We start from the raw sequence: 26543 nt of genomic DNA, 5'->3' as shown, positions 1-26543 counted from the left end.
CTGTAGATTGCTTTGGGCAGTATGGCCATTTTAATGATGTTGATTCTTCCAATTCATGAACATGTAATGTTTTTCCATTAGTTCTCTATAACTTGTTTAAGTAGTGTTTTGTAGTTCTTTTTGTAGGGATCTTTTACCTCCTTGGTTAGATGTATTCCTAGGTATTTTATTTGTGTGTGTGTGGCTATTGTAAATGGGATAGTATTTTTGATGTGGCTCTCACCTGGAATGTTATTGGCATATAGAAGTGCTACTGATTTTTGTACATTGATTTTGTATCCTGAGACTCTACTGAGCCCATTTATCAGTTCTAGGAGCCTTTTGATGAAGGCTTTAGTGTTTTCTAGGTATACAATCATATTATAATGAAAACAGATAATTTGACTTCTTTTCTTACATATATGCCTCTTATTTCTTCCTCTTGCTCAATTGCTCCCTCTAGGCCTTCCTGCCTGTTCTTAATTTTTTTTTTTTTTTTTTTATGAGACAATGTCTCGCTCTTTCACCCAGGCTGGAGTGCAATGGCATGATCTCAGCTCACTGCAGGCTCCGCCTCCTGGGTTCATGCCATTCTCCTGCCTCAGCCTCTCCAGTAGCTGGGACTACAGGTACCCGCCACCATGCCTGACTAATTTTTTGTATTTTTAGTAGAGACAGGGTTTCACCGTGTTAGCCAGGATGGTCTCGATCTCCTGACCTCGTGATCTGCCTGCCTTGGCCTCCCAAAGTGCTGGGATTACATGCGTGAGCCACTGTGCCCGGCCCTAAATTTTTTTTTTAAAGATGAGAGTCTTGCTATATTGCCAAGACTGGTGTTGAACTGGCCCGAGCAATCTTCCTGCTTGAGCCCCCATCATGAGCCACTTCATTTGGTGGCTTTTGATGAGCAATCTGCTTTCATTTGAATTATTTTTGTTTTCTCTTGTAGATAAGATTCCATTTATTTTCTGAATGCTTTCTTTGTCCTTAGTTTTCAAAAGTTTAATTAGGGTGTAACTTGGCACAGATTTTTTTTGTGTGTGTCCCTCCTCTTTCCGCTTCATTCACCTTCTTTATGTTTGGGTTCTTTGCCAAATTGGGGAAGTTTTTAGCCCTTAATTTCTTCAAGTACTTTTTCAGTCCTCCCCTCCCTTTCTCCTCTGCTTCTGGGACTCCAGTGAAACAAATGTTTGATCTTTCATATAGTCTCACTGGTCCTTGAGGATCTGTTCATTTGTTCTTCCACCTGTGTTCTTGATATTATCATGCAACTTCTACTATATTCTATTTTATTGATTTCCTTTGTTTGTGCCCTCATTCTGCTTTTTATCCCATTTACTGCACTTTTATTTAATTATTGTATTTTTTGGTTCTAAAGTTTCCATTTGGTTCACTTATATTTTCTGTTTGTTTGCCAAGATTGTCTGTTTTCTTAGTGAGGGTTTCTTTTTTTTTGTTTTAAACATGTTCATAATTCCTTGTGGAAGCATTTTCATCATGGCTGCTTTAAAATCATTGTCAGATCATTCTAACAGCGCCCCTTGTGGGCTCCACTGGGCTCCACTCACACAACAGGGATGGGGGATGTTGGAGGTGGGAGATCATTACTAGATGAATGTGTTGGATCCCTACTTGGCTTTCTCTCACTTCACACTCCTGAGGGGTGTTATATGCCTCCTTACAGACTTTCAAGAATGAAAGTCTAGGCCCTCCACTTGACCTTCTGGCATGGGTGAGGGTGAGGCCAGTGTTTTGTGTATTTTGGGCTAGAGTAGCACTTTTTTTGTCTAAAGTTTTTTTTCTTGCTGGACTGCTCCTTCCTGGTCTTTTGACTGGCGGCTTTTGTTGGGGCTTTATTTTTGTCTTCTCCTATTGTTATTTCCAGGTTGCCGGTTTTACAGCTGCAAGTCTGAGATGTAATTAGGCAAAAAGAAAACTCAAGGGAAACTTAATCTTAGGTCCTGAGGCCCCTAGTCAGTCTGTGTTCCTTTCTCTACCGTTCACAGACTTCTTAGGCTTGTTTTATATGTAATGTGTAGCACTTTTATTTGTACTTAGTGAGAGGAATAGGAAAAATTGTATCTACTCCATCTTCCAGGAAGTAGAACACCAAGTCACTCCTTTTAGAAAACCTCCAGTGACTCTCTGTTGCCTGTAGATCATCATCTAAGTTTCTTCGTCTGTTATTCAGAGAGCTTCTTAATCTGTGAAGAATCTTAGCTTTTCTCTCCTCTTCCAACTACTCCTGTGTGTCTCTGTTACACCATTTGATGTTCTATAGAATTCTATTCTATAGGATTCTGCGTTTCTACTGTCTGTATACCATGACCTTGATCAATTTGTTCTTCTGTCTGAAATGCACCAATCGTTCATCTCAAGGCCATGTGTCTCATCACCTTGTAATCTGCAAGCTGTTAGGTATTTGACTGGATCATCAGTTGTTTCAGAAGATGTGAAGCTGGAACTATTGAAAAATGTCAAAATAATATGTTCTGCACCAGAATAGTTTGATTGTCCTTCTAAAGTAAGGTAATGATTGTAAATTGGTTGTTAATATATCAGTATCACCAGTCACTGATTGTGGAGCATCTACTCTTTGTTGAGTATTGGACTTAAACATTGGAATAGTAGATAATTTAAGGTTTGCATGTAGTTAAATGGCATTTCTTTAAGAATAAAGCGTTAGTAGTGCTAAATGATGCCTTATTGTTTTAATCTATCTTAATAATGATAAAGACTTGGCCAGTGGTTTTGAATCCTAGCTGCATATGTTGTTTACCTGGGGGGCTCTGAAATAATTCCTGTGCCTAGGTCTAAACCCAGAGATTGTCATTCAGTTGATTTGAACTGGGGCTCTCACATTTATATTTTTTAAAAGCTCCCCACATGATTCTAATGTGTAGCTGGGTTAAAATATAAGTGAATACCAGTGGTTTCAGTCACTTTTAAAGTTCTTTCCCAGAATGCTTCCAGCTGTGCAGCTTTTAACTTTATACTTCAAAGTCTTTACCTTAGCAGATTCAAAAAAAAAACCTTGTACTTCCTGCAGATGACTCATCCAGGAGAGTCATTATATGAACTATGAGCTGGTTTGCAAAAGGAAGAAAACATTTTGTGGCAGTAATTAAATTTCTGTAGACAATATGAAATAACAGAATTCAGGATTATTCTCTCAAAGATTTAAAAAAAAATTCTCTATTCATTTTTTTAAAAGGTGGTTGCAGGAACAGTACAGAGCTTATAGCATCCTATATAATCCATTGATACTGTAGACTTTTGTTGAATTAATAGTCTTAATCTCACTTCAAGTGTTTACTTTTGTCAGATACTAAGATACATAGTTGGCACAAATATAGATAATAAATAATTTACTGCTACAGCAGAGAAATCAAACATTAGTCGTGATTAATAAATGAGACACTCTTGAATTTCTTATGATAAAACTGGTGTAAACATTTGGCATGTAAGTAGTTAATGTATTTAATTTAAGAGACTGACAGACTTTTAGTTTCTAATAATAAAAGCAGTTAGGGATAAGAAAACGAGGGCAAGGCAGAGGAAGAAAAGAAGGAGAAAAGAGGTCAGTTAATAAAGAACATAGAGAAAAAATAGACTCAAAGATAAGAATTCAATTAACTTTGTGACAACAAAGCCTTTCCTCTGAGGAAGAAGAAATTAGGTGCTCTAGTTCATTATTTATTTTAGGGCCATATACTCAATTTGGTTTATTATATTATGACTCCAAAGCACAGAAAGAATTATAAAATAACACTGACCTTTTTCCCTACACATAGTAATTTATTGAGCAATAAGTTTCTAGTTTCTTACAGAAACTGGCATGACTGAGGGGACTACTTCAAAGGGGCTGATGCTTCATATTAGGTTAATCTCTAGGAATGGTAATAAGAACATTATTAGATAATTGTCAAAGTATTTGTCAAATTTTGTTTTTCTAAATGTATAAGCTGTAACTTTTATTTAATATATATTTTTATGGAATCTAAGAATTTTGAAGAAATTTGATCATGACAGGATTTCTAAGGCCATGAGAAGGCGTTAATTTTATTATGCCAACAGTTTTCTGTGGACTTACTAGTATGATTGTACAGTTGATCCTTGAACAATAGGTTTGAACCAGATGGGTTCACTTTATGTGGCTTTTCTTCTATATCTGTCACCCCTGAGACAGCAAGGCCAACCTATCCTCTTCCTCCACTTTCTCAACTGACTCAATGTAAAGACAACAAGGATGATGACATTTTTGATGATCCACTTCCAGTTAATGAATAGTAAATATATGTTCTCTTCTTTTGATTTTCTTAATAAGATTTTATTTTCTCTAGCTTTATTGTAAGAATATTGTATATAGTACATATACAAAATATATGTTAATTGCTTTTATGTTATTGGTAAGGCTCTGGTCAGCAGTAGGCTCTTAGTAGCTGAGTTTTTGGGGAGTCTGAAGTTACATGTGGATTTTTGACTATGTGGAGGGCAGGTGCCCATAATCCCTGTATTGCTCAAAGGTCCACTTACAATTAATACTTACAGTTTCATTTCCAAATTTGTATGCCATGACTGGATCTCTGTTATTCTGGCAAGAGATAAAGATACTGACTCCCATGGAGTCTCTGATGAGCAGGGGTGGGGCAAGTCTCTGTACTCAAACATTGAGGGCAGATTTTGAAGTTACCCTTTATGCTTCTATATTTGGCATATGTGTCATATTACAAGTTTGGAAAATGAGCTTACTGACAGAAGGGACCATGGAAAAAAATCACTTTCCTTATTTCAAAAGAAAATAAATCTTTTTAAAAATTAGCCCTTAAAATTATCTCCAAACTTAGCCATTTGTCTTATGTTCACTGACAGTATGCTTGGGACTTGTAGGGAAGGGACACACACACAATGGTAAATAAAAACTGGCTCAGTGCCTGACTTTGTAAAGCACATGTTTTTAATAGATGCTAAATTTTATGCCTGGAAATGTAGGCTACGATGGAAATGTGGGAAGGGCCAGGTAAACAAGGATCAAATTACGCCAAGTCCCCCAAAAAGACTAACACAAAGTGAACATCAGAAGGTCATCGGAAAAACCAGGAGAATGGGGTATTAAAACACAAGAAGACAGGAAAAGCAGTGCTAATTTCTGTAAGTATGGTTATGGATATTTGTGTGTCATGGTATTTTTTTTTTCACAGAAGCTTTCATATAGATTATCATGTCTTTACTGATTTAAGGATCTCTGTTTTAGGATTAGAAAATAATTTCATTTGTCCCTGTAATAATGTACATTATTAGAAAATAATTTCATTTGTCCCTTAGAAAGGAGGGCAAGTGCAACATTTGCAATGTTTTCTTTTAAACATTTTTCTGATAGAAGATTATATAATCAGTTTGGTTTTAGATCAAGAAAATACGATTAAGACCTAATTAGATATTTTTATAGACTTGATTTTAAATCAGTAATTACTGCTTTTAAAACGCTTTGACCAAAAAGATGATCCTTGTAATTAAATATTACCAAGTAAAACTACTTGGTAAAATATGGTTTTATATTATTCTATTTACATACATTTATTTTGGTCCCAACTCATGATTGTAAAGCCTGTGAACCACAAAGTGTTCTGGATCATCAAACGATAGCAAATAAAAATTAAAAAAAAAAAAAAAAAACTACATCAGATTTTTTTTCAAACATGAGTGTAAAATAATTAAGTCTAGGACTTGTTCTTACATATTAAATTACAAGTAAGAGCACGGGTCATCTCCCCTATTTAAATATTTTTCAGACTGAAATTTATTTTTTCATTTTCTTAGATTTTACTTGTCAACATACAGATTGAGGCTTTCTTAACATCTACCCTTTGCTATATGCTCAGGTCATGTGTATGTATATGTACATATAATTTAAAAAAATTACTTTTTAGATACAGGATCTCTCTGTGTTGCCCGGGTTAGAGTGCAGTGGCACGATTGTAGCTCATTGTAACCTCAAACTCCTGGGCTCAAGTGGTCCTCCCACCTCAGCCTCGCAAGTAGCTAGGGCTGTAGACATGTGCTACCATGCCCAGCTTTTTTTTTTTTTTTTTTTTTTTTTTTAAGAGATGAGGTCTCACTATGTTGCCCAGGCTGGTCTTGAACTCTTGGGGTCAAGCAATCCTCCTGTCTTAGCTTCCCAAAGTGCTGGGATTACAGGTGTGAGCCACCACACCTGGCTACATATAATTACTCATTGTAATAAACGCTATTTGAGTTCATATTAAGTAATTCAACAAGTAAAAATGACATGGTTCCTTCTGTCAGTGAGCTCTTGTTAGAAGGGGAGATGGATAATGATGAATGATAATCATAATAGAGTGGAAGGTAAATGGTAGCACTGAGGAGGGAGAGAATGGGTACTCATCCTCACCTTGAGTGTTGTGTCAGGGAAGGTTTCACAGAGAAGGTGAATCTAAGATAGGGTTAAAGCATGAGTAGGAATTTCATGGACAAAGGATTGTAGTAATGTTATTTCAGCGAAGATGACATCATAGGCCAGGGCTCAAACCGTGAAACAGTATTGCAAGTTCAGAGAGTTGCACTTGGTTTCTTGCTAATGAGAAAAACATGAAGTGGAGAGAGAGGCAGGAGGATGATCTGGAAAAGACTTAAGTCTTGTAAAAGAATTGGCTGTGGAGTACCATTCGGGATTTTCAAATGGAGTGAAAGAATTAATTTTGCAAGTGCGTAAAGGCGGGTGAGTGGAGTCAGGAAATGTTTCCAAGGTAATATGGTAATTGAGGCAATAGTGCTGTTGAGAAGAGGGTAGAATCAGCAGGCTATGTGCCATTGCATGTAGAGGGTACAGGAAAAGAATAACTTGAGGGTTTTCTTAAGTGTTTGCCTTTGGTTTTTATAATACGTATGTGGGTTTGGACATATGTTGAGAAATAACGTAGAAAAGCTTGTCACAGATGACTGTAATTTTACCTAAATTTATTTTATTTTGAAATAATTTCAGACTTATAGAAAAATTGCAAAGATAATTCAAAGAATTACTGTATAGGTTTCACTCCACATTCTCCTAATATTAACTTTTTACCATATTTGGTTTCATATTTTCATGAGACAGTATTTGTTTCTGAACCATTTGGGAGTAATTTGTAGACATTATGCCCCTTAGCCCCTAAATACTTATGTCCCTTTATTCCTAAGTATGTCTCCCTAAATAAGGATTTTTAAAAAATATATAACCACAATATAATCGTCAGTATCAGGAAGTTAACATTGATGCAGTACTCTATAGACTTTATTTAAATTTTGCAGTATTTCCTAATTTCCTTTTAAGTGAAAGAGAAACTGTTTCCCCTGGTTTAGGTTCCAGTTCAGGATTATATGTGTTACTTTTGGTTTTTCATGTCTCTTTAGGTTCCTTAATACAGAACACTTCCTCAGTCTTCCTTTGTGTTTCATAATATGACTTTTTTTTTTTTTTTTTAAAGAGATGAGATCTCACTATGTTGCCCAGGCTGGCCTTGAACTCCTGGCCTCAAGCAATCCTCCCACCTCAGCCTTCCAAAGTACTGGGATTACAGACAAAAGCCACTGTGCCCAGCTGATAAATGACATTTTTTAAAGAATTCCAGTCAGTTATTTTTTAGAAATATTTTTGCCATTTGAGTTTGTCTGCTATTTCCTCATGATTAGATTCAGGTTATGCGTTTCTGGCTGGAATACTACAGAAGTGATGTGTCTTCAGAATCTCTTGTCAGGACACCCATACTATTGTTTTGTTCCTTTACTGGTGATGTATACTCGTACTATTTTTAGTAGAGACGGGGTTTCACCATGTTGGCCAGGCTGGTCTCAAACTCCTGACCCCAAGTGATCTACCCGCCTCAGCCCCACAAAGTGCTGGGATTGCAGGTGTGAGCCACTGCGTCCGGCCTGAGCCTTTTCTTATATTCTGGCAATAAGTGTTTCAGAGTCATCTTGTACTTACCTTATCCAGCCTTGAAATCTGTCATATTTTCAAGCAGCCCTAATTCTTTTTAGTGTGAATGTTATTTAGAAATCAAGATCTGGGCACTCATGTTACTGAGAGATGTCTATTTATTTATTTATTTATTTAAAGGGATTTGCTTACATGATCATGGAGGCTGGTAAGTCTAATCTGCAGAGTCAGCAAGCAGGCTGGAGACCCAGAGAGAGCCGATGTTCTAGTTTGAAGGCCATCAGGCAGGAAGAGCTGATGTTGTGGAAGAGCTGATGTTGTAAATGAAGTCTGAAGGCAGTCCTGCTGGAGGAATGCCTCTTACTGAGAGTCAGTCTTTTTGTTCTACTCATGCTTTCAACTGATTTGATGAGGCCCACCTGCATTACGGAGGGCAAACTGATTTACTCTACCAGTTAAAATGTAAATCTTATCCAGAACACCCTTACAGAAAACAAGAAAATGTTTAACCAAATACCTGGACACACTGTGGCCCAGTCAAGTCAACACCTGAAATTACTGAAATTAACCATCAGAGCCCCCCAAGTGTACAGAGCCAGGGTAAGCATACACACATGCACACACACCAGGGCATGCATACACATACACACATGCACACATGCCAGGCCATGTGCACACACACGCATGCATGCATGCATGTATCCCTGTATCTATCTCTGTATAAAAACTATGAATACGATGGATGTGGTGGCTCATGCCTGTGATCCCAGCACTTTCAGATGCTGAGGCAGGTGGAGTAGTTGAGGTCAAGATTTTGAGACAAGCCTGGCCAACATGGTGAAACCCTGTCTCTACTAAAAATACAAAAATTAGCTGGGCACTGTGGTATGCGCCTCTAACCCCAGCTACTTGGGAGACTGAGGCAAGAGAATTGCTTGAACCCAGGAGGCAGAGGTTGCCGTGAGCTGAGATCCTGCCACTGCACTCCAGCCTGGGTGACAGAGCGAGACTCCATCTTAAAAAAACAAAAGCAAAAGCAAAAAAAAACTATGAAGACATATTCCTGTGCCAGCCATCATTACCGGTTTCATTCTAGCCTCCTTCTGCACTTTCCGTATTTGTAACTACCTTTAACAGTAGGAAGTCTGGTTTCTGTTGTTCACAGTATATTTACTTATTTGCTCAATCTTAGAATATACAAAAAGTAATTTAGAATTGCTAATCCTTAACACTATAAAAAGCAAACCCACTTACTGGAACTCAGTGTTTACTTACGGTTCTCTTTTGTTTACATCCTGAGAATACGTAGTAAAAATACTGTGTTCAAAAGTTACTTTGGTGGTTAGGTCTTCCTTTCTTCCTAAATTTTCCCTGAGTCATTTGAAATACCAATAGAGACATTTGTTTTGTTTGATTTCCATCTTAGAATTTTTTTGCTTTCTCATCTTTGTGGATCTCCATATTTCTTTGAGTATATTAAGCATTAACATGGTTCCAAAAGTCAGAACCATACAGAAAGCTATACACAGAAAAGTGTTGATCATACCTCCCATCTTTTCTACCACTTCTCCACTCATCTTCTCCATCCCTTATCCTCTGCTTCCTAGGCGATTATCCTGATTAGTTTCTCATGTATATAGTTCTTTTGGTTCTCTGTACACAAAATGGACAGATAAATGTATATCTTCTTTCCTATACAAAAAGTAGAACACTGCATATATTCTTTTGTATTTTGTTTTTCCGACTTAACAGTATATACTGGATATCTATATTTTATAATGATATAGAGATCTCTTTATTAATTTTTAGAGCTGCATAGTACTCCATTGTGTGGATCTACAGCTTGTTTATTCAATCACTTTCCCATTTGTGGACATTCAGGTTATTTCTGATTGTATTTTCCAATTATAAATGACACTGCAATAAATAATCTTTGTAATACGTGTTTTTATATTGTTGAAATGTGTCGTCTCCCTTGTCGCTTCTTACTTTGAATTTGTGCTTTCTCTTTTTTTTCTGGATTAACCTTGTTCATTTACTTAAAAAAATTCCAGGATTTTGATTTATGATGTGATTTTTAAAATTCTCCACCCAGCTGATTTATTTTGTCTTTATTATTTCTAGTCTCTGTTTTAGTTTAGTTTGTTCTTTTTGAATTATGAATTTACTATTGATATAAATGTTCAAAGCTACAGATTTTCCTCTGTTCAGGTTATTAAATATATAATTTTGTATCTTTTTTTGGAAAATGTATAATTTTGAGGTAGAATGCCATTTTTGTTTTTAGTTTTGTTAATATCTGGTTTTGTTAGAATTATGATCAGAGTGTTTGCATTATTACTACTTCATAAAATATACTGTTGCTTTTTAAATTACCTAATATGTGTGCACTTTTTTTGGTCAATATTGATGTCCATTTGAGAAGGAGGTACAGTTTTTATTATCAGGGTATGTAGTTTTCAGTTCAGTTTATAAGTGTTTTCAGTCTTACGTATTATTAAAGTTATGTTCCTATGTCTGTACATCCCTGTAGTTTCTGCTTTTTAAAAGTAGTTGCTATGTGATGATAGGCATACACGATGGTTATGTCTTCATGTGAATTGCAGCTTCTAACGTTAAACAGTGTTTCTCTGTGTCATATTTAAGGCTTTTTGATTTGAGTCTTCTTTAGTATCAAGATCATTACTCTTGCTTCCTTACTGTTTCTATTTGCTTTGTATGCCTTTGCTTATCCCTTTTTTTTTAAATTTTTTAAATTTTTTTTTTTTTTTAGCTTTTTGGTCTATACTGTTTTAGGTTATCTCTTGAATAAGCATTTATTAGGTATTTTTTAATAGCCAAATGAAAAAATTTTTAATGACTTATGTTTGATTTCAACTCTTATGTTATAAATACTGTGTACATTGTTCTATTTTTCTTTATTTCTCTATGATGTGCTTTCTTTGCCTTTTCATCTTTAAATTTCTTTTTTTTTGGATATTTAGGCTTTGCTGTTTGTTGTTGTAGCAGCTACTTGTATGTTTATGCCTTTTTTAAATGTCCTCATTTCTTTGTTTTCTTATTTAAGTTTATACTATCTATTATGTTGTTTTTAATGGTGTCCTATAATTCTTATCTATTGCTATTTCAACAAAAGTTTATTTTACATTTTTCTTTTTCTCTTTTTCCATTTTCTTCAGTTGCATTATGTCTGTTTCATCCTCAATCCTTAACTGCAACTTCGTTTTGCTCTTAGATCTACAATTAAATATATTAAAATTTCACCACCAGTTCTTTTGCTGAAGTTTACCTATTGGTTAGATATAGCTCAGCTTTTAGTGGATTTCTTAAGAAGAACTCATGGTGACCACAATTTTCCTTGAGTTCCTGCATATTAAAAATTGTTCTCCTGTAGCCTTAATATTGGTAGTACAGGTTGGGTGGAAATAAGTCCTTGGTTCACACTTTCCCTTTTTATAATGTGGCCTTGCTTTCTATATGTTTTGTTGTTTTGAGAAGTCTGATGCCAGTCTTAATTTTCTTGCCCCTGTAAGTTGCTTGAATCTTTTGTTTGGAATTCTTGGATCTTTCCCTTCTCATATTTTTAAAGTCTAATAGTTTTACTATAATATATTTTAGAATTGATTTTAACAGGTCAATTTTCCTTGCTACATTAGTGGGTTCTCTTAATATGTAGAATCAGATTTTTTTTGTTTCTGCAAATTTTTTTTTGGATTATAGTTTTAAATATTAATTCTGTTCTAATATTTTCTTTTTCTTCTGCAGGGACTTCAGTTACTCATATAATTATACCTTCTCTGTTTAGCTTCCATTTTACCAACTGTTCCTGTGATTATTTTTTTTACCGCGTTATCTCATTTTCATTCTCTTGGTTCTTTTCCTGTTTTCCTCAGTGCCTTTTATTAAGGTTTTACTCTATTTTTGAGCAGGAATTTAGTCCTCACCTTTTCTCTTATTTATTTATTTATTTTTGCCCATTCTATTTTCAGGTTTATATTTCTGATTTATGATGGTTTTCATACTCCTAAGTGCTTGTTTAAAGAGATACAATTCAGGCCGGGTGCAGTGGCTCATGTCTGTAATGCCAGAACTTTGGGAGGCTGAGGTGGGCAGATGGCTTGAGCCCAGGGGTTTGAGACCAGCCTGGGCAACATGACAAAACTCATTCTCTACAAAAAATACAAAAATTAGCCGGATATGGTGGTGTGTGCCTGTAGCCCCAGCTACTGAGGAGGTTGAGGTGGGAAGATCACTTGAGAGCCCAGGAGGTGGAGGTTGGGGTGAGCTGAGATCGCGCTACCGCATTCCACCCTGGGTGACAGAGTGAGACCCTGTCTCAAAAAAAAAAAAAAAAAAAAAAAAAAAAAAAAAAAAAAGAGATACAATCCAGTTTGGAATATTTATTAAAATCTTCTACTTTGTTGTTGGTTTTTTGGGGGTGCTTTTCATTAGCTTAATTGTCCTAACGTTATTTTTTATTTTAGAAATTTTATATAGATGAAGATTGCAACAACTATGTGTGACTATGAGCAGGGCTGTTGTTTTAGGGGGTTTTATGAGATTACTAATTCAGGAATGTCCTCTTCTGTCAGTGTAGCACAGTTTGGTTTGTTTGTTGGATGGCTTTTTTTCACCTTTTGAGGGAGAGGATTTTGTGTTTCTCAAGTAGGGTTGTGTGTGTGTGTGTGTGTGTGTGTGTGTGTGTGTATTTGAGTATATATATATATATATATATATATAAGTTCTTACAAAATCTTAAATTTCTTTATGTATATAAGAACCTTACAGAATCTGAAACTTTCTTTTTCGTTTCTTTTTTCATCATCTAATTTCCAAAAACACACATTATTTTCTTTTTACCGCCGTCCTTGTTTGTATTACTCAGGGCTCTCCAGAGAAATAGAAACAAAAGGATGGAGAGTTACATAGATATATATCTAAAAACATATGTATATCTATATCTAGAACGAGATTTTTTTGTAAGAAACTGGCTCATGTAATCACGGAGGCTGAGAAGTCCCACCATCTGCAAACTGGAGACCTGGGAAGACCTGTGGTGTAAATTCCAGTCAGTCTGAAGGCCTGAGGACTAGGAGCAACAATGGTGTAAGTTCCAGCCCAAGGGTAGGAGAAAACTGATGTTTCAAGCTATAAGGCAGATAGAGAGAATTCGGCCTTTTTCCCTCCTTTTGTTCTGTTTGGGCTCTTAACAAGTTGAATGATGCTCACTTACATTGGGGAAAGTAATGGCTTTACCTATTCCACAAATTCAAATGCTCGTCTTTTCCGTAAACACTGTAATGGACATAACCAGACATAATGTTTAACCAGATATTTGGGCATCTCATGGCCCAGTCAAGTTAACACGTGAAATTTACCATCACACCCTTGATGCATTACCTTATCAAGACTACCTCCTTGAATCCTCCCTGCACTTTTAAATCCCTTCCCTATAATTTTCTCTCATCTATGAGTGGTCTTCTTGAGGATTTTTTCACGTAGACTGGGCTTTCTTTTTCTGTGGATGATTTTAGTTTAATTTTAGGCTTTCTGTCCTTGCCTCCAGCCCCCACTTTGTGTTTGCAAAATTTTTCTCCCCCTAGATCTATCTGTCCTCTCTAATAGGTTAGGGGAAGAGCTTGATTAATATCTCCACTAGAATGGAGTTTATGTTTTCTACTTTACATAATTTGAAGTTAGTTTGTCTTGTATTAAAAGCGTGAAATTTGTATGGTTTTATTTGTTCTTCTTGTTAGTCTTTTTAGCTTTTGAAGGTTATATTGGAGGATTTGTATTTACATGGCCACTAACACCTTGATTAACCCATGAGTTATGAAACTTCATTTCAGTTGATAATTTTTTCCCTACTGAAACCAGAGTAGGTTACTTAGTGTGTCCGTATAATGCCAACGGCCTGGGTTAGCATTCAAGATGAAGCCTGTGTTCTTTCCTGATGTAGGATGAGTCCCTAGTTCTACAGTATGTGCCTTCATTAAAGACAGACCCCATTCCCACCACAGGCTTGTATCTTAAGGCAAAGTCATTGCAACATCTTTTCTGCCACTGTATTTGCAAGCCCTAAGATGGAACTCCTTTAACCTTCCATTACACACATGGACATATTTGTTAAAAAGGAGATATATAACTCCCCAAAATGTGAAATGTGTAATCGAGGTAAGAGGTATAATATTCAGGCCGGGAGTAGTGTTGAGGAACTTCCTCATCTGCAACACACACACATACACACATGCGTGCACAGACACAGACACATACATCCGTGACATATTTGATGTCTGTCATGTTATAGAGGCCGCCTGGTAACACACTAAATGACACTATACTTACACAGTGTGAGGGTCTGGGGACTATACATAGATTATTGTCTCAGTGATTGATAGATGGTAGATTCCTACGAGGGAAGGGATCATAAGGAGGCTGTTCAGGAAGGATGATTGTCTCACTTCTAGTTCTTTAAGCAGTGAGACCAATGTGAGTGGGCTTAAGCTAAAAGGGGGATTTAGTGGAATAATTTTGGCATATCACCCCATACCAAATGGCAGCCAGGTCCTCTTAAGGTACTGAAGCCAGGGTGAGTGGTAAAGTAGCTTGCTTAAGGTCACACACCTAATAAGCGGCAGAGTTCACATTTGATCCCAGTTCAGCCTGGTGCTAGCCTTAATCATGACACCCTGCTGCCTCTGCTCATTTTCCCCCCAAAATTTCTAGTAATGTCAAGAGCTCCACAGGCAGTGCAGAAGTCATTGAAAACCGGGAATTGCTACTTCGGTGCCTCCTACCTAAGCTTTGTACTAAAAGCAGTGAGACTTTAAGAAAGCTCTTTTAACCTTAAATCATTTTTTGTAAAGGAAACAATTATCATAGTTCCGTATTTTTAAATATTAGATTTTGTGTTGTGCTTTTTCTTTCAAAAAATACTATTTGTTCAAATAGCTGTTTTAGAGTATAGTGATAGTGGATGGCAAAAATTTTGTTACCTCAATTCTTAGAAATACTTGCTAGCAAAAACTCTTATTTTTGACTGTCCAGAGGAATCCCAAAATTTTCTCTGTGCTTCTTTTGTGGATGGTATCAGATAATCTGCCAAGTGAGAGGTTAGTGGCAGTCAGGAGCCATCTAAATATTTTGAGAATGTACTAGGAACTGAAAAGGTTTCATAGATAACTAAAGTGAGAAAGTGAGGTGGGGGGTAATAGTGAATATTGTAATAAAAGTTAAGATGTAATTTTATAAAATGGAAACATCTGCATGTTAAATAGTGACTTTTTCCAAGTTTTGAAATATAGATAATGAAAACTCACTTAGGCTGTAAAAGTAGTAAAGTCAAGTAAGCCATTTCTGAAGCCAGAAGTTGGAGTTGACTCAGCATAAAGAAGGCTTTATAAAGTGCCCCTCTTCATTCATAATCCTAATGGGCCAGGTCTCAGAATATTTCAGTAAATGTCCCTGAACTATGTAATTTAACATTCTGCTCAAAGTAGATAATGCTCTATTCATAGTTCTTTGGCAAGTTGAAAATTATCTAAGCTTGTTTTCTCCTTCCTTTTTCTCCTGCTTCCTCTGTATTCTGCTAAGTGGCACCTAACTGAGAAAGCTGGCAGGATCATTATTCAACAAATATTTATTGCGCATTGGCTATCTGCCAGGCACTGTCCTAGGCAAACAAATAGACACATTCAAATGACATAGCCAACATCTATTTTAGATTTCAGAAATAACTATTTTGGTTTTATTGACTATATATGTAAAATAGATTGTTATTAAATTTGGGTATGCTCTTTAGTGTTAATATGCATCATGCCCAAAATCTTTGGAATCTGTTTCTTTTCTGAGTCAAGCAATATGACATTTATTGATTATTAACCTGGAGATCTGCCTGGTCTTCTGACCAACCACTTCTATGCACATATCAGCGTGAGTGGATATTGTGGACATAAATTGTTGTTTTTCATAGTAATTTAATCACTTAACAAAAAGTATAATAATGGTGATAGTGATAGTGAGAAGGAGACTGCTGGGAAAACGACTGCGGTCACAAAAGTGAGAAAGGCCTAACAAGACAAGGAATAAATGTCTCCATTGCCAACAGAGTGGCAGAAGTTGGAGTTCTGCCGGCATGCCTGCCTGCCTCTTTTTATCTTACGGCTGTTGCAGTGATCAGAATTGGTCTCCTGTCTTCTCAGCAGTCTTAAATGGGGTCCAGATACTCAGATTTTTCCCCACACTGGGCTTTAGAATATGTTGGTGAATATGAGAATATTTTAAGAGTATGTGTAGCCTATTTTCTGCCTTCCCTTGAGATTTTGAAATAAAAATATTGCTAAAATGAAAAACTGTTTTAAGAATTATAGCTCCCTCTTATACATTTTTGATATGTTTAAGGATTTAGTTTTCCTAAATTTTTATGGACCTTTTCAAACATACAGAAACATAGGAAATAATAAAAGGTACCACTGTTTACCCATCATCCATTTTTAACAATTATCAATAAGTGGCCAATCCTGTTTTATGCATATTCTTCCTTCTCCATTATTGAAGCAAATCTTAATGGTATGGTCTGAATGTCCCCCAAAATTCATGTGTTGGAACTTAGTTCCAACTGTGGTTGCATTAAGAGGTATATAGCCTTTCGGAGGTGATTGAGTCAGAAGGGCTATGCTCTCGTGAATGGGACTAGCACCCTTATAAAAGGGCTCAAGATTGAAGGGAATGCTCTCTTGCTCTCCCACTTTTCTGTCACATGAAGACACAGTATTTGCACCCTTTTTGCCCTCCCATCTTTCTGCAATGTGAGGACACCTAGACGATACCATCTATGAGGAACAGGGCTTCACCAGGCACTGAACCTGGTGGTGCCTTGATCATGGACTTCTTAACTTCCAGAATTGTGAGAAGTAAATTTCTATTATTTATAAATTACCCAGTCTCAGGTTTTTTTGTTACAGTAGCATGAACAGATTAAAATACCCAGACATATTTCATTAAAGTATATGTCATTTAAAATATAAAGATCTCTTTTTAAAAAATATAACCTTAATGTCATATCTTTAAAAAAATGAATAATTATATTTAAGGGATGTCAAAGACTTTTATTATTTATATTACAGTAAAGGTTACTACATTAATTACCACGAGCATGAGAATTTATATAACTTAGAGCTTAAGAGTAGGGCTTCTGTAGGAGATACGGGAAAAAAAACCCTAAGTTGTTTTTTCCATCTCTGACACAGTCAACATAGAACGCTTCACTTCTGGTCACCAGAATGTGTGGAAATTTTCCCCCACCAGCAACCAATCAATTTGCCAGCTGACACCAACTGGGTATCCTGTAATTTAACTCAGTTCTAACACTGCCTACCTGGAGACAGCATCAGATCCCTCAGGTTGAGGGTGAGTCCCACAAGACTACCCTTCTACTTCAGATACTGATTGCAAGCCCCAGGTTGTGACCTGTGTTACTGACTGACTGGCTATAAATTGGGGTTCCCGTGACCCCCTCCTCAGTTTTGATTTGCTAGGATGGCTCACAGAACTCAGGGAAACATGTACATTTACCCATTTATTACAGAGGATATTACAAAACATACAGATGAAGAGCCACATGGAAGAGATACACAGGGCAAGGTGTATGGGAAGGGGCATAGAGCTTCTATGACCTCTGGTCGACATTCCACCCTCCAGAAACCTCCATGTGTTCAACAATATGGAGGATCCCTGAATCCAGTCCTGTAGGGTTTTTGTGGAGGTTCCATTATATAAGCATGATTGATTACATCATTGGCCATTGGTGATCAACACAACCTTCAGCTCTTCTTTCCTTCTCAGAGTTAGTGGGGGTAGGGGGAGGTTGGACTGAAAGTTCCAACTCTTTATTCACAGGGTTGATTTCCCTGGCAACCGGCCCCCATCCTTCAAAAGAGCCTTCAGCAATCAGTCATTTCATTAGCATACAAAAGACACTTAGCACTTTAGAGATTGCAAGAGTTGTATGAGCTTTGTGCCAAGAATCAGGAGCAGAGACAAAATACAGAGTATATTTCTTATGTCACAATATTGTATCCTTGGACTTAGCCTTAGGTTTAAATGCCAGTTTTGCTGCATAACGTTGGGCAGGTTAACCTCTCTCCATCTCACTAGGCTGCTGTTTTCCTCTGCTGTTAAATGGTGACAGTAATAGTTTTAACTAAGTAGGATAGTTGTGAGTTATAAATGAAACAATGCACAGAAAGCGATTAGGATCGTGTTTATATGTAAAACATGCTCAATAATGTTAGCATTATTGTTATTTTTATTTGGAGGTGTGAGGAAATACACATAATTAATTTGAGATCCCATTTTTTAGATTAGGCCATGTTTCAAAGTGATTTGTGTTTAATCATGCTCTTCAGAGTTTATTTTTAGGGAATACAAAATAATATCATTTTAATCCATAGGCACATTTATCCTTTTCTCAAAAGCAAATTTGATTTGTTTTAAAACATGTAATAGCATTGAAAGGAATAAATTTAACCTTTACTCAAACCTTGGATGTCTTTATGTGTGTTGATGTGAAAACTTTGAGATACCCTAAGATATAAGACCTTTATAATTTTCCCTTGAGATTAAAAATAAAATGCAAATCTTAGTTCCTTTTGTAGTTCCAATATAGAGTAATAGATAGTTTGGACAATCTATGAACATAAATGTTATCAACAATACTGCTTATACTCTCCTTTCTTCCCTTCATTTAATCCATTTAGTCTTTTATTGTCATTGTTTTATACCATCCAGGATGTACAATGTTGGAAGAAATTTGTCTTTGCCAAAGTGAAGTTTCTCATGGCAATATGTTCTGATTATAGTACCACTTGGGGATAAATTGCTTACCATATGCAGTTCATTTTACAGACTTTCTAGAGAATATTGCTTACTTTTTTTTTTTTAGTTTTTATATCTTAATAAAGTGTACATCATTTTCATCCAGATTATCCTGATTTACAAAATGACCAATTCAGTTGTTTATTTTTTAAATTATTTTTGATGGCTTTACTAAGGTGAAATTTACGTATCATGAATTTCACCTATTTTAATTATACAGATTGATTTTTAGTAGATTTCAGAGCTGTGCAGCCATTACCACAATTTAATTTTACAGTATTTCCATCACCCCAAAAAGAAACTTAGTGTCTATTACCAGTCACTCTCCATACCCACTCCAGCCCTAGGCAGCCACTGGCCTACTACTTTCTTTCTGTTTGGATTTGCCTATTCTGAATTTTTTTTATACAAAAATACAATATATGTTTGTGTCTGGCTTTTTTCACTTAGTATGTTTTCTAAGTTTATCCTCGTTATATCGTATATCAGCGTTTTCATTCATTTGTATTGCCTAATGGTATCCTATTATATGGATGTGTCATGTTTTGTTTATCCATATAGAATTGATGAACATTTGGGTTGCTTTCATGTCTTGGCTGTTATATGAACAGTGCTGCTGTGAACATTCGTGTACAAGTCTTTGGGTGGATATATTTTTTGTTTATTTAAAATTAATGAATAGAATAATAGTTATCTGCTATTTAAGTGTTTTTAATTTTGATTTTATTATGTGACAATGTAATATAGTGGAGAGAAGCACTGGACAGAGTTGCAGGAGCCTAGGTTTCACAGGCTACTTTCTTGTTTTGTGGCCTTAGGATGGCAAATCTGTGTCTCCAGATTTTAGTTTCCTTATCTACAACATGGAAAGGTTAGACTAAATGATCTCTTATGATTTATAAATCTGTTAATTTCTATATTATTTTGAGCAGATTACTTCTCTGTGCCTCAGCTTTTTCATGTGAGAACATTGGGTTATTAATAGAATCATATATAAGTATTAATATGAGGATGAAAGAATATTCTTGGAATATAAAAAAGTATCAGGATAAGGCTGGGACTGTTATTTTTCTGGATCAAGAATGCCTTAGTGGGAATGCTTTCACGGTGGCCTCAGTGGAGTTACTGGTAGTAAACTGGTAAACCAGTAATTAGTGGAGGAAGGAAGATTTAGCTGCTAGTAATAAATGCCATTTATTGGGTGCTTATCCTGAGTATACTAAACTATATATACAAATTTGCTCACTTAAGTCCCAGTCCTGTGAGTTAGGTTCAGTGATTTGCTCATAAAAGAAATTAAAGGAATTGCCAAAACCACATAGCTAGTAAGTGGCTGGCCGGGAGTCACACCCTGGCTCCAAGGCCATGTTTTTTGCCACTGCACTAAACTTTATTTCAGGGAGAACAACTCTTTGGAACAGAATCCCATAGTAGAGAGATCTTTGGTGGGGGAAGTCTTTTTTTGGGATAGATAGCTAATATCGCTTACAGTCCTTATGAGAGAGAAAAGAGGTGGTCACTCTATAAATACTTGGTTTTCCATGTGTCCTATGTTTGTTCCAAAATGACATTTTAATAATTGAACAAGTTTAATAGTTGACCAGATTGAAAATTTGCAGAATGTTCTATTGTTTCAGTAGTTTTACTACAAAAAATACAATATATGTTGTTTTTTGTTTTTTAATTTTTTTTTTTGAGACAGGGTCTAACTCCGTCACCCAGGCTGGAGTACAGTAGCACAATCATGGCTCACTGCAGCCTTGACCTCCTGGGCTCAAGGGATCCTCTCACCTCAGACTCCTGAGTAGCTGGGACCACACAGGTGCATACCACCATGCCTGGCTAATTTTTTTATTTTTTGTGGAGATGGGGTCACACTGTGTTGCCCAGGCTGGTCTCAAACTCGTAGGCTCATACAGTCCTCTCACCTTGGTCTTCCGAAGTGCTGAGATTACAGGCATGAGCCACCATGCCTGGGGCATTTTTTTTTTTTTTTCCTTAACAGTCTCACTCTGTCACCCAGGCTGGAGTGCAGTGGCGCCATCTTGGCTCACTGCAACCTCTGCCTTTGCCTCCTGGCTTCAAGCGATTCTCCTGCCTCAGCCTCCCGAGTAGCTGGGGTTACAGGCATGCACCTCCACGCCTGGCTAATTTTTGTATTTTTAGTAGAGATGGGGTTTCACTATGTTGGCCAGGCTGGTCTTGAACGCCTGACCTCAGGTGATCCACCTGCCTCGGCCTCCCAAAGTGCTAGGATTACAGGTGTGAGCCACTGCACCCAGCCCCATTTTTTTTTTTTTAATGGGACTTTCACTCTGATGAAAGCAACTCATACATCTCACTGGCTTTTTTCTGCCTTGGTAACACTATTATAATTTCCATTTTAAAGCAATATTCCATTTTTTAAGTTAAAACTTTTTTAACCTTTTTTAAAAACTATTTTTACATTTCCTCCCCTCCCCAATGTAGTGTTTGGTACATACCAAATATTTACATTATACAGACAAAAAAATTTAGTGCCAAAATCTCAATTCATGATACAGGTATATTATTTCATTTGAACAAAAGTATTATTTTATGTATTTGTGGTAGTGAACATATAAACATTTGGGCACTAAAAATTAATTTGTTATGCCAATTATGTGGAATTAGGGGCCCTGAAATACATCTGAACCTCTGTTCCGAATGCATTTAAATCTTATATATCTGGAATATTACATTTAGTCTTAACTCAATGGAAGGCATGTGTGTTTTTAACCAAGGAGAGAGGAAGAACACTTCTTTCTAGGAGGAAGATTGGGAGAGAATGAGGTTTTGTAATGACCCAGAGAAATTCTGAGTTGAAGAAGAGGAGAGGAAACACCTACAGTAGGTGAAGAGGGGTTGGAATCTGGAAATTAGATGCTGGAATTTGTGAAGTTATTGTGGCTGTATCCATTTCCTCTTCTGGTGATGGAAGGAGACCTCACCCAGCTAGGTGAATTTAGTGGACACATGCATGCCTTGGAAAAGGAAAAGGAAATGGTTCAGGTTTCTAGAGCTCAACACAAGGCTTAGATGCAGAAAATGTACAGGTAGAGAGCTCATCTAAGGGAACTGTGGCAGTAGATAATGAGGTCCTAGCCATAGGGGATACTCTAAAGCTGGGGGTTCCAGGAATATCTTGACCCTCCTGGAATTCCACAAGTGTGATTTGCTCCTCTAGTGCAATGTTCCTTTTTCCTTTTGCTGCTCCTATTTTGGTGAAGAAGCAGTCAAACTAAGGATTTATCTGTAAATTAAGAAGAGCCAAAGATTTTTAAAATTTTTTCATATATTAATATGAAAGTTAAGGAACTTTAAATCTGGACCTTCAAAAATGGAGGTTTGCTGTTGATAAGGGTTTGGTAGAATGCCTAGAGGGGTGGAGAAGGGACAGAGTGAGGAGGATGGTCTAGGGGTAGTGGCTTATATTGTAGTTTTTGAAAAGGGTTTTTAAGTGGTGGGCTGTCATTACCATTTTCAGTAGACTTTTGAATTTTAAATATAGTATAGGACTTTTAATGTTCCACTAGACTTCTTAATGTAGATTTTTTTGTCTCTTAAGGTGGATTAGCAGTAGTTTTATAGAAAACTTGAAATCTCAGAGGCTTTCTTTTCCTTTTCTCCATTTCTTACTGAATAAACTAGTTCTTGATTCATATGGTAAAAATGATATTATTCGGTGAAACTTTAACTTTCAAATTAATTTAGAGGAGCTATACATTTGGATAAATCTGTATTTTGGTGAAAGCCCTTTTAAAAAATAACTTTCATTTTAGGTCTACTCAAAGGATTGTTGTTGTTTCCTCTACAACTGTCAATATTGTTGCAAAACCAGATTAGTAATCATGCACTGGCACCTGCAATAACACACAAATTACATAAAATTTCCATTGTTGACTTGCTTCACCAATTTATTATCCTAAAGTTGAATAATGTTTATTTCTGTATAATTTTATATATGAATATGTGGAGTGATAGAGCACTGAGTACTTGTATTTGTTAATTTCTAAAATTGCTCTTACTTTGTAACAACAGTTGAAAATATTTCTAATCTCAACTTAAGGATAGTTATAACTATAGTATTTCTTCTGGAAATGCAAGGCCAAAGGGCCTGCATTCTAATTTTGTTCATTGCCATTTTGTGTCTACGTGATGTAGACTTACTAGAGATGATTTAGTTACCCCTACGCTACCCTAATGGGTTTTCACTGGTTGTTAAGAAATGCTCCTTGAAGAATTTAACTAAATTTTCCAAATAAACTGGTTGATTTATATTTATTGAGAGGGGAGTTCTAGTGTACCCACTCACATCATCAATTACAGTCTCTCATAAAGTGCAGTTTTCCCAGTCTTGATTAAAAGGCCTGCAATTCTGTTTTCTGCTGCTGAATACATCCTCTGCTGCCCTCTAATGGCAGCTCATTGATGGCACCCACTGATGTCCATCTTAACCACCAAGAACTTGCTGTTCTTGGCATCCAGCAACTTATGTAGCTGCGGGATCTTGGGTGGCTCTCCCAGTAGATAGACAGCTGGAAGGAAAAGCATGCACATGTGAATCCTGTGATTTCCCGTCAAGGTGTTGGCATTCAGGTAGTTGTGACAATGTTAGGATTCTTAGAGTAAGTGTTTTGCTTTACCATTTGTTCATTTTATTGTTCATTTATCCATTAATTCATCAGATGTTTGGGAATGCCAGAAATGTCCACTGCCTGGACTTCTGTCAATCTGTTAGGTTCTAAGTATAGATTTGTTGAGTGAGCAAATAAATACAAAAATAAATGACGTGGTCTCTGCCCTTGGGGAGACAAAATACAAACTTAAATACACCTTGGTTGCCTTTATTTTCCTCTTTAAATCTCCACAATACTGGGAAAGATAGTTAAACTAGGAAATGGATACAAATATCCATGGAAACCTAGTCTCCCTGTATTTCTAGTTCTCAGAATTCATTGTCCCTAACTGTAGAAGGGCTTTGTTCTAAGAAGTACTTATTTTGCACCTAGAAATGATATTAGTTTTTTTTGGTGCTTCTTGCTTTTGGTTGAAGGTAACACAAAATCATGGTTGCATTTTCCTTTATATTTACCAGTCTCTAAGGCATTTAATTTGTCATGAAGTGTGGCTTTCCGCCTCTTTTCTATTTAATGAACTATGACTTAAAATAGGTGCTGCTTTAAATGACCATATAAATAGGATAAGTGAAGTGCTGTGTATTTTTTTTGTTACGAATGTTGTGAATTCCTTAATTCTTTCATTTCTTAGCCTGCTTTACAAGACAAGTTTTTTTTTTAAGGTATTTTTCTTTCTACTCTTTATTATTTCATATTAGGTGAATGTCTGTTATTGGCTTCATTCCTTGTTTGAGAGTATAATCCACTCAGATGTATTTAGGTCAGATATCCCATTGTAGAAGAATGTGGACTAGTATGTTTATGTTATTTTTTAAATTTATTTTTAAATTATACTTTAAGTTCTAGGGTACATGTGCACAACGTGCAGGTTTGTTACATAGGTATACATGTGCCATATTGGTTTGCTGCACCCATCAACTCGTCATTTACATTAGGTATTTCTCCTAATGCCATCCCTCCCCCAGCCCCGCAACCCCCAACAGGCCCCAGTGTGTGACGTTCCCCGCCCTGTGTCCAAGTGTTCTCGTTGTTCAGTTTCCACCTATGAGTGAGAACATGTGGTGTTTGGTTTTCTGTCCTTGTGGTAGTTTGCTGAGAATGATGGTTTCCAGCTTCATCCATGTTTCTGCAAAGGACATGAACTCATCCTTTTTTATGGCTGCATAGTATTCCATGGTGTATATGTGCCACATTTTCTTAATCCAGTCTATCATTGATGGACATTTGGGTTGGTTCCAAGTCTTTGCTATTGTGAATAGTGCCGCAGTAAACATACGTGTGCATGTGTCTTTATAGTACCATGATTTATAATCCTTTGGGTATATAACCAGGATATAATAGGATCACGGGTCAGATGGTATTTCTAGTTCTAGATCCTTGAGGAATCACCACACTGTCTTCCACAATAGTTAAACTAATTTACACTCCCACCAACAGTGTAAAACAGTTTTTATTTCTCCACATCCTCTCCAGCATGTTTTTTCCTGATTTTTAATAATCGCCATTCTAACTGGCGTGAGATGGTATCTCACTGTGGTTTTGATTTGCATTTCTCTGATGGCCAGTGATGATGAGCATATTTTCAGGTGTCTGTTGGCTGCATAAATGTCTTCTTTTGAGAAGTGTCTATTTATATCCTTTGCCCACTTTTTGATGGGGTTGTTTTTTTCTTGTAAATTTGTTTAAGTTCTTTGTAGATTCTGGATATTAGCCCTTTGTCAGATGGGTAGATTGCAGAAATTTTCTCCCATTCTGTAGTTTGCCTGTTCACTCTGATGGTAGTTTCTTTTGCCATGCAGAAGCTCTTTAGTTTAATTAGATCCCATTTGTCAATTTTGGCTTTTGTTGCCATTGCTTTTGGTGTTTTAGTCATGAAGTCCTTGCCCATGCCTATGTCCTGAATGGTATTGCCTAGGTTTTCTTCTAGGGTTTTTATGGTTTTAGATCTAACATTTAAGTCTTTAATCCATCTTGAATTAATTTTTATATAAGGTTTAAGGAAGGGATCCAGTTTCAGCTTTCAACATATGGCTAGTCAGTTTTCCCAGCACCATTTATTAAATAGGGAATCCTTTCCCCATTTCTTGTTTTTGTCAGGTTTGTCAAAGATCAGATGGTTGTAGATGTGTGGTGTTATTTCTGAGGCCTCTGTTCTGTTCCACTGGTCTGTATGTCTGTTTTGGTACCAGTACCATGCTGTTTTGGTTACTGTAGACTTGTAGTATAGTTTGAAGTCTGGTAACATGATGCCTACAGCCTTGTTCTTTTTGCGTAGGATTGTCTTGGCAATGTGGACTCCTTTTTTGGTTGCATATGAACTTTAAAGTAGTTTTTTCCAATTCTGTGAAGAAAGTCATTGGTAGCTTGATGGGGATGGCATTGAATCTATAAATTAACCTTGGGCAGTATGGCCATTTTCACAATATTGATTCTTCCTATCCATGAGCATGGAATATTCTTCCATTTGTTTGTGTCCTCTTTTATTTCATTGAGCAGTGGTTGGTAGTTCTCCTTGAAGAGGTCCTTCACATCCGTTGTAAGTTGGATTCCTAGGTATTTTATTCTCTGAAGCAATTGTGAATGGGAGTTCACTCACGATTTGGCTCTGTGTCTGTTATTGGTGTATAGAAGGGCTTGTGGTTTTGCACATTGATTTTGTATCCTGAGACTTTGCTGAAGTTGCTTATCAGCTTAAGGAGATTTTGGGCTGAGACAGTGGGGTTTTCTAAATACACAATCATGTCATCTGCAGACAGGGGCAATTTGACTTCCTCTTTTCCTAGTTGAATACCCTTTATTTCTTTCTCCTGCCTAATTGCCCTGGCCAGAACTTCCAACGCTGTGTTGAATAGGAGTGGTGAGAGAGGGCATCCTTGTCTTGTGCAGGTTTTCAAAGGGGATGCTTCCAGTTTTTGCCCATTCACTATGATATTGGCTGTGCATTTGTCATATAGTTCTTACTATTTTGAGTTATGTTTCATCAATACCTAGTATTGAGAGTTTTTAGCATAAAGGGCTACTGAATTTTATTGAAGGCCTTTTCTGCATCTGTTGATATAATCATGTGGTTTTTGTTGTTGGTACTGTTTATGTGA

General features: G+C 36.5%; 1 protein-coding gene across 4 annotated transcripts in view; it reads left to right on the top strand.

Annotated features, from left to right (window-relative positions):
* Positions 1-26543, top strand: part of SESTD1 (SEC14 and spectrin domain containing 1) — a 163155-nt gene that overhangs the window by 22428 nt on the left and 114184 nt on the right. The window contains exon 1 of one of the 4 annotated variants that reach the window (XR_007084411.1): positions 12874-13021. The exons of 1 other annotated variant lie outside the window; for it this stretch is intronic. Coding sequence is in view for 2 of the 3 variants with exons in the window: in XM_047446274.1 (XP_047302230.1) it covers positions 13017-13021 (5 nt within the window). In the remaining variant the exon portion in view is untranslated. Of the gene's footprint in view, positions 1-12873; positions 13022-26543 lie in introns of those variants that run through there. 2 more of the 4 variants (XM_047446274.1, XM_047446273.1) reach the window with 2 other exon arrangements.

This window comes from Homo sapiens, chromosome 2 (genome assembly GCF_000001405.40).
Source record: "Homo sapiens chromosome 2, GRCh38.p14 Primary Assembly".
Classification (NCBI taxonomy): domain Eukaryota; kingdom Metazoa; phylum Chordata; class Mammalia; order Primates; family Hominidae; genus Homo; species Homo sapiens.
Note: the sequence above shows the minus strand (reverse complement) of the source record. Positions and strands in the feature narration are given on the sequence as shown.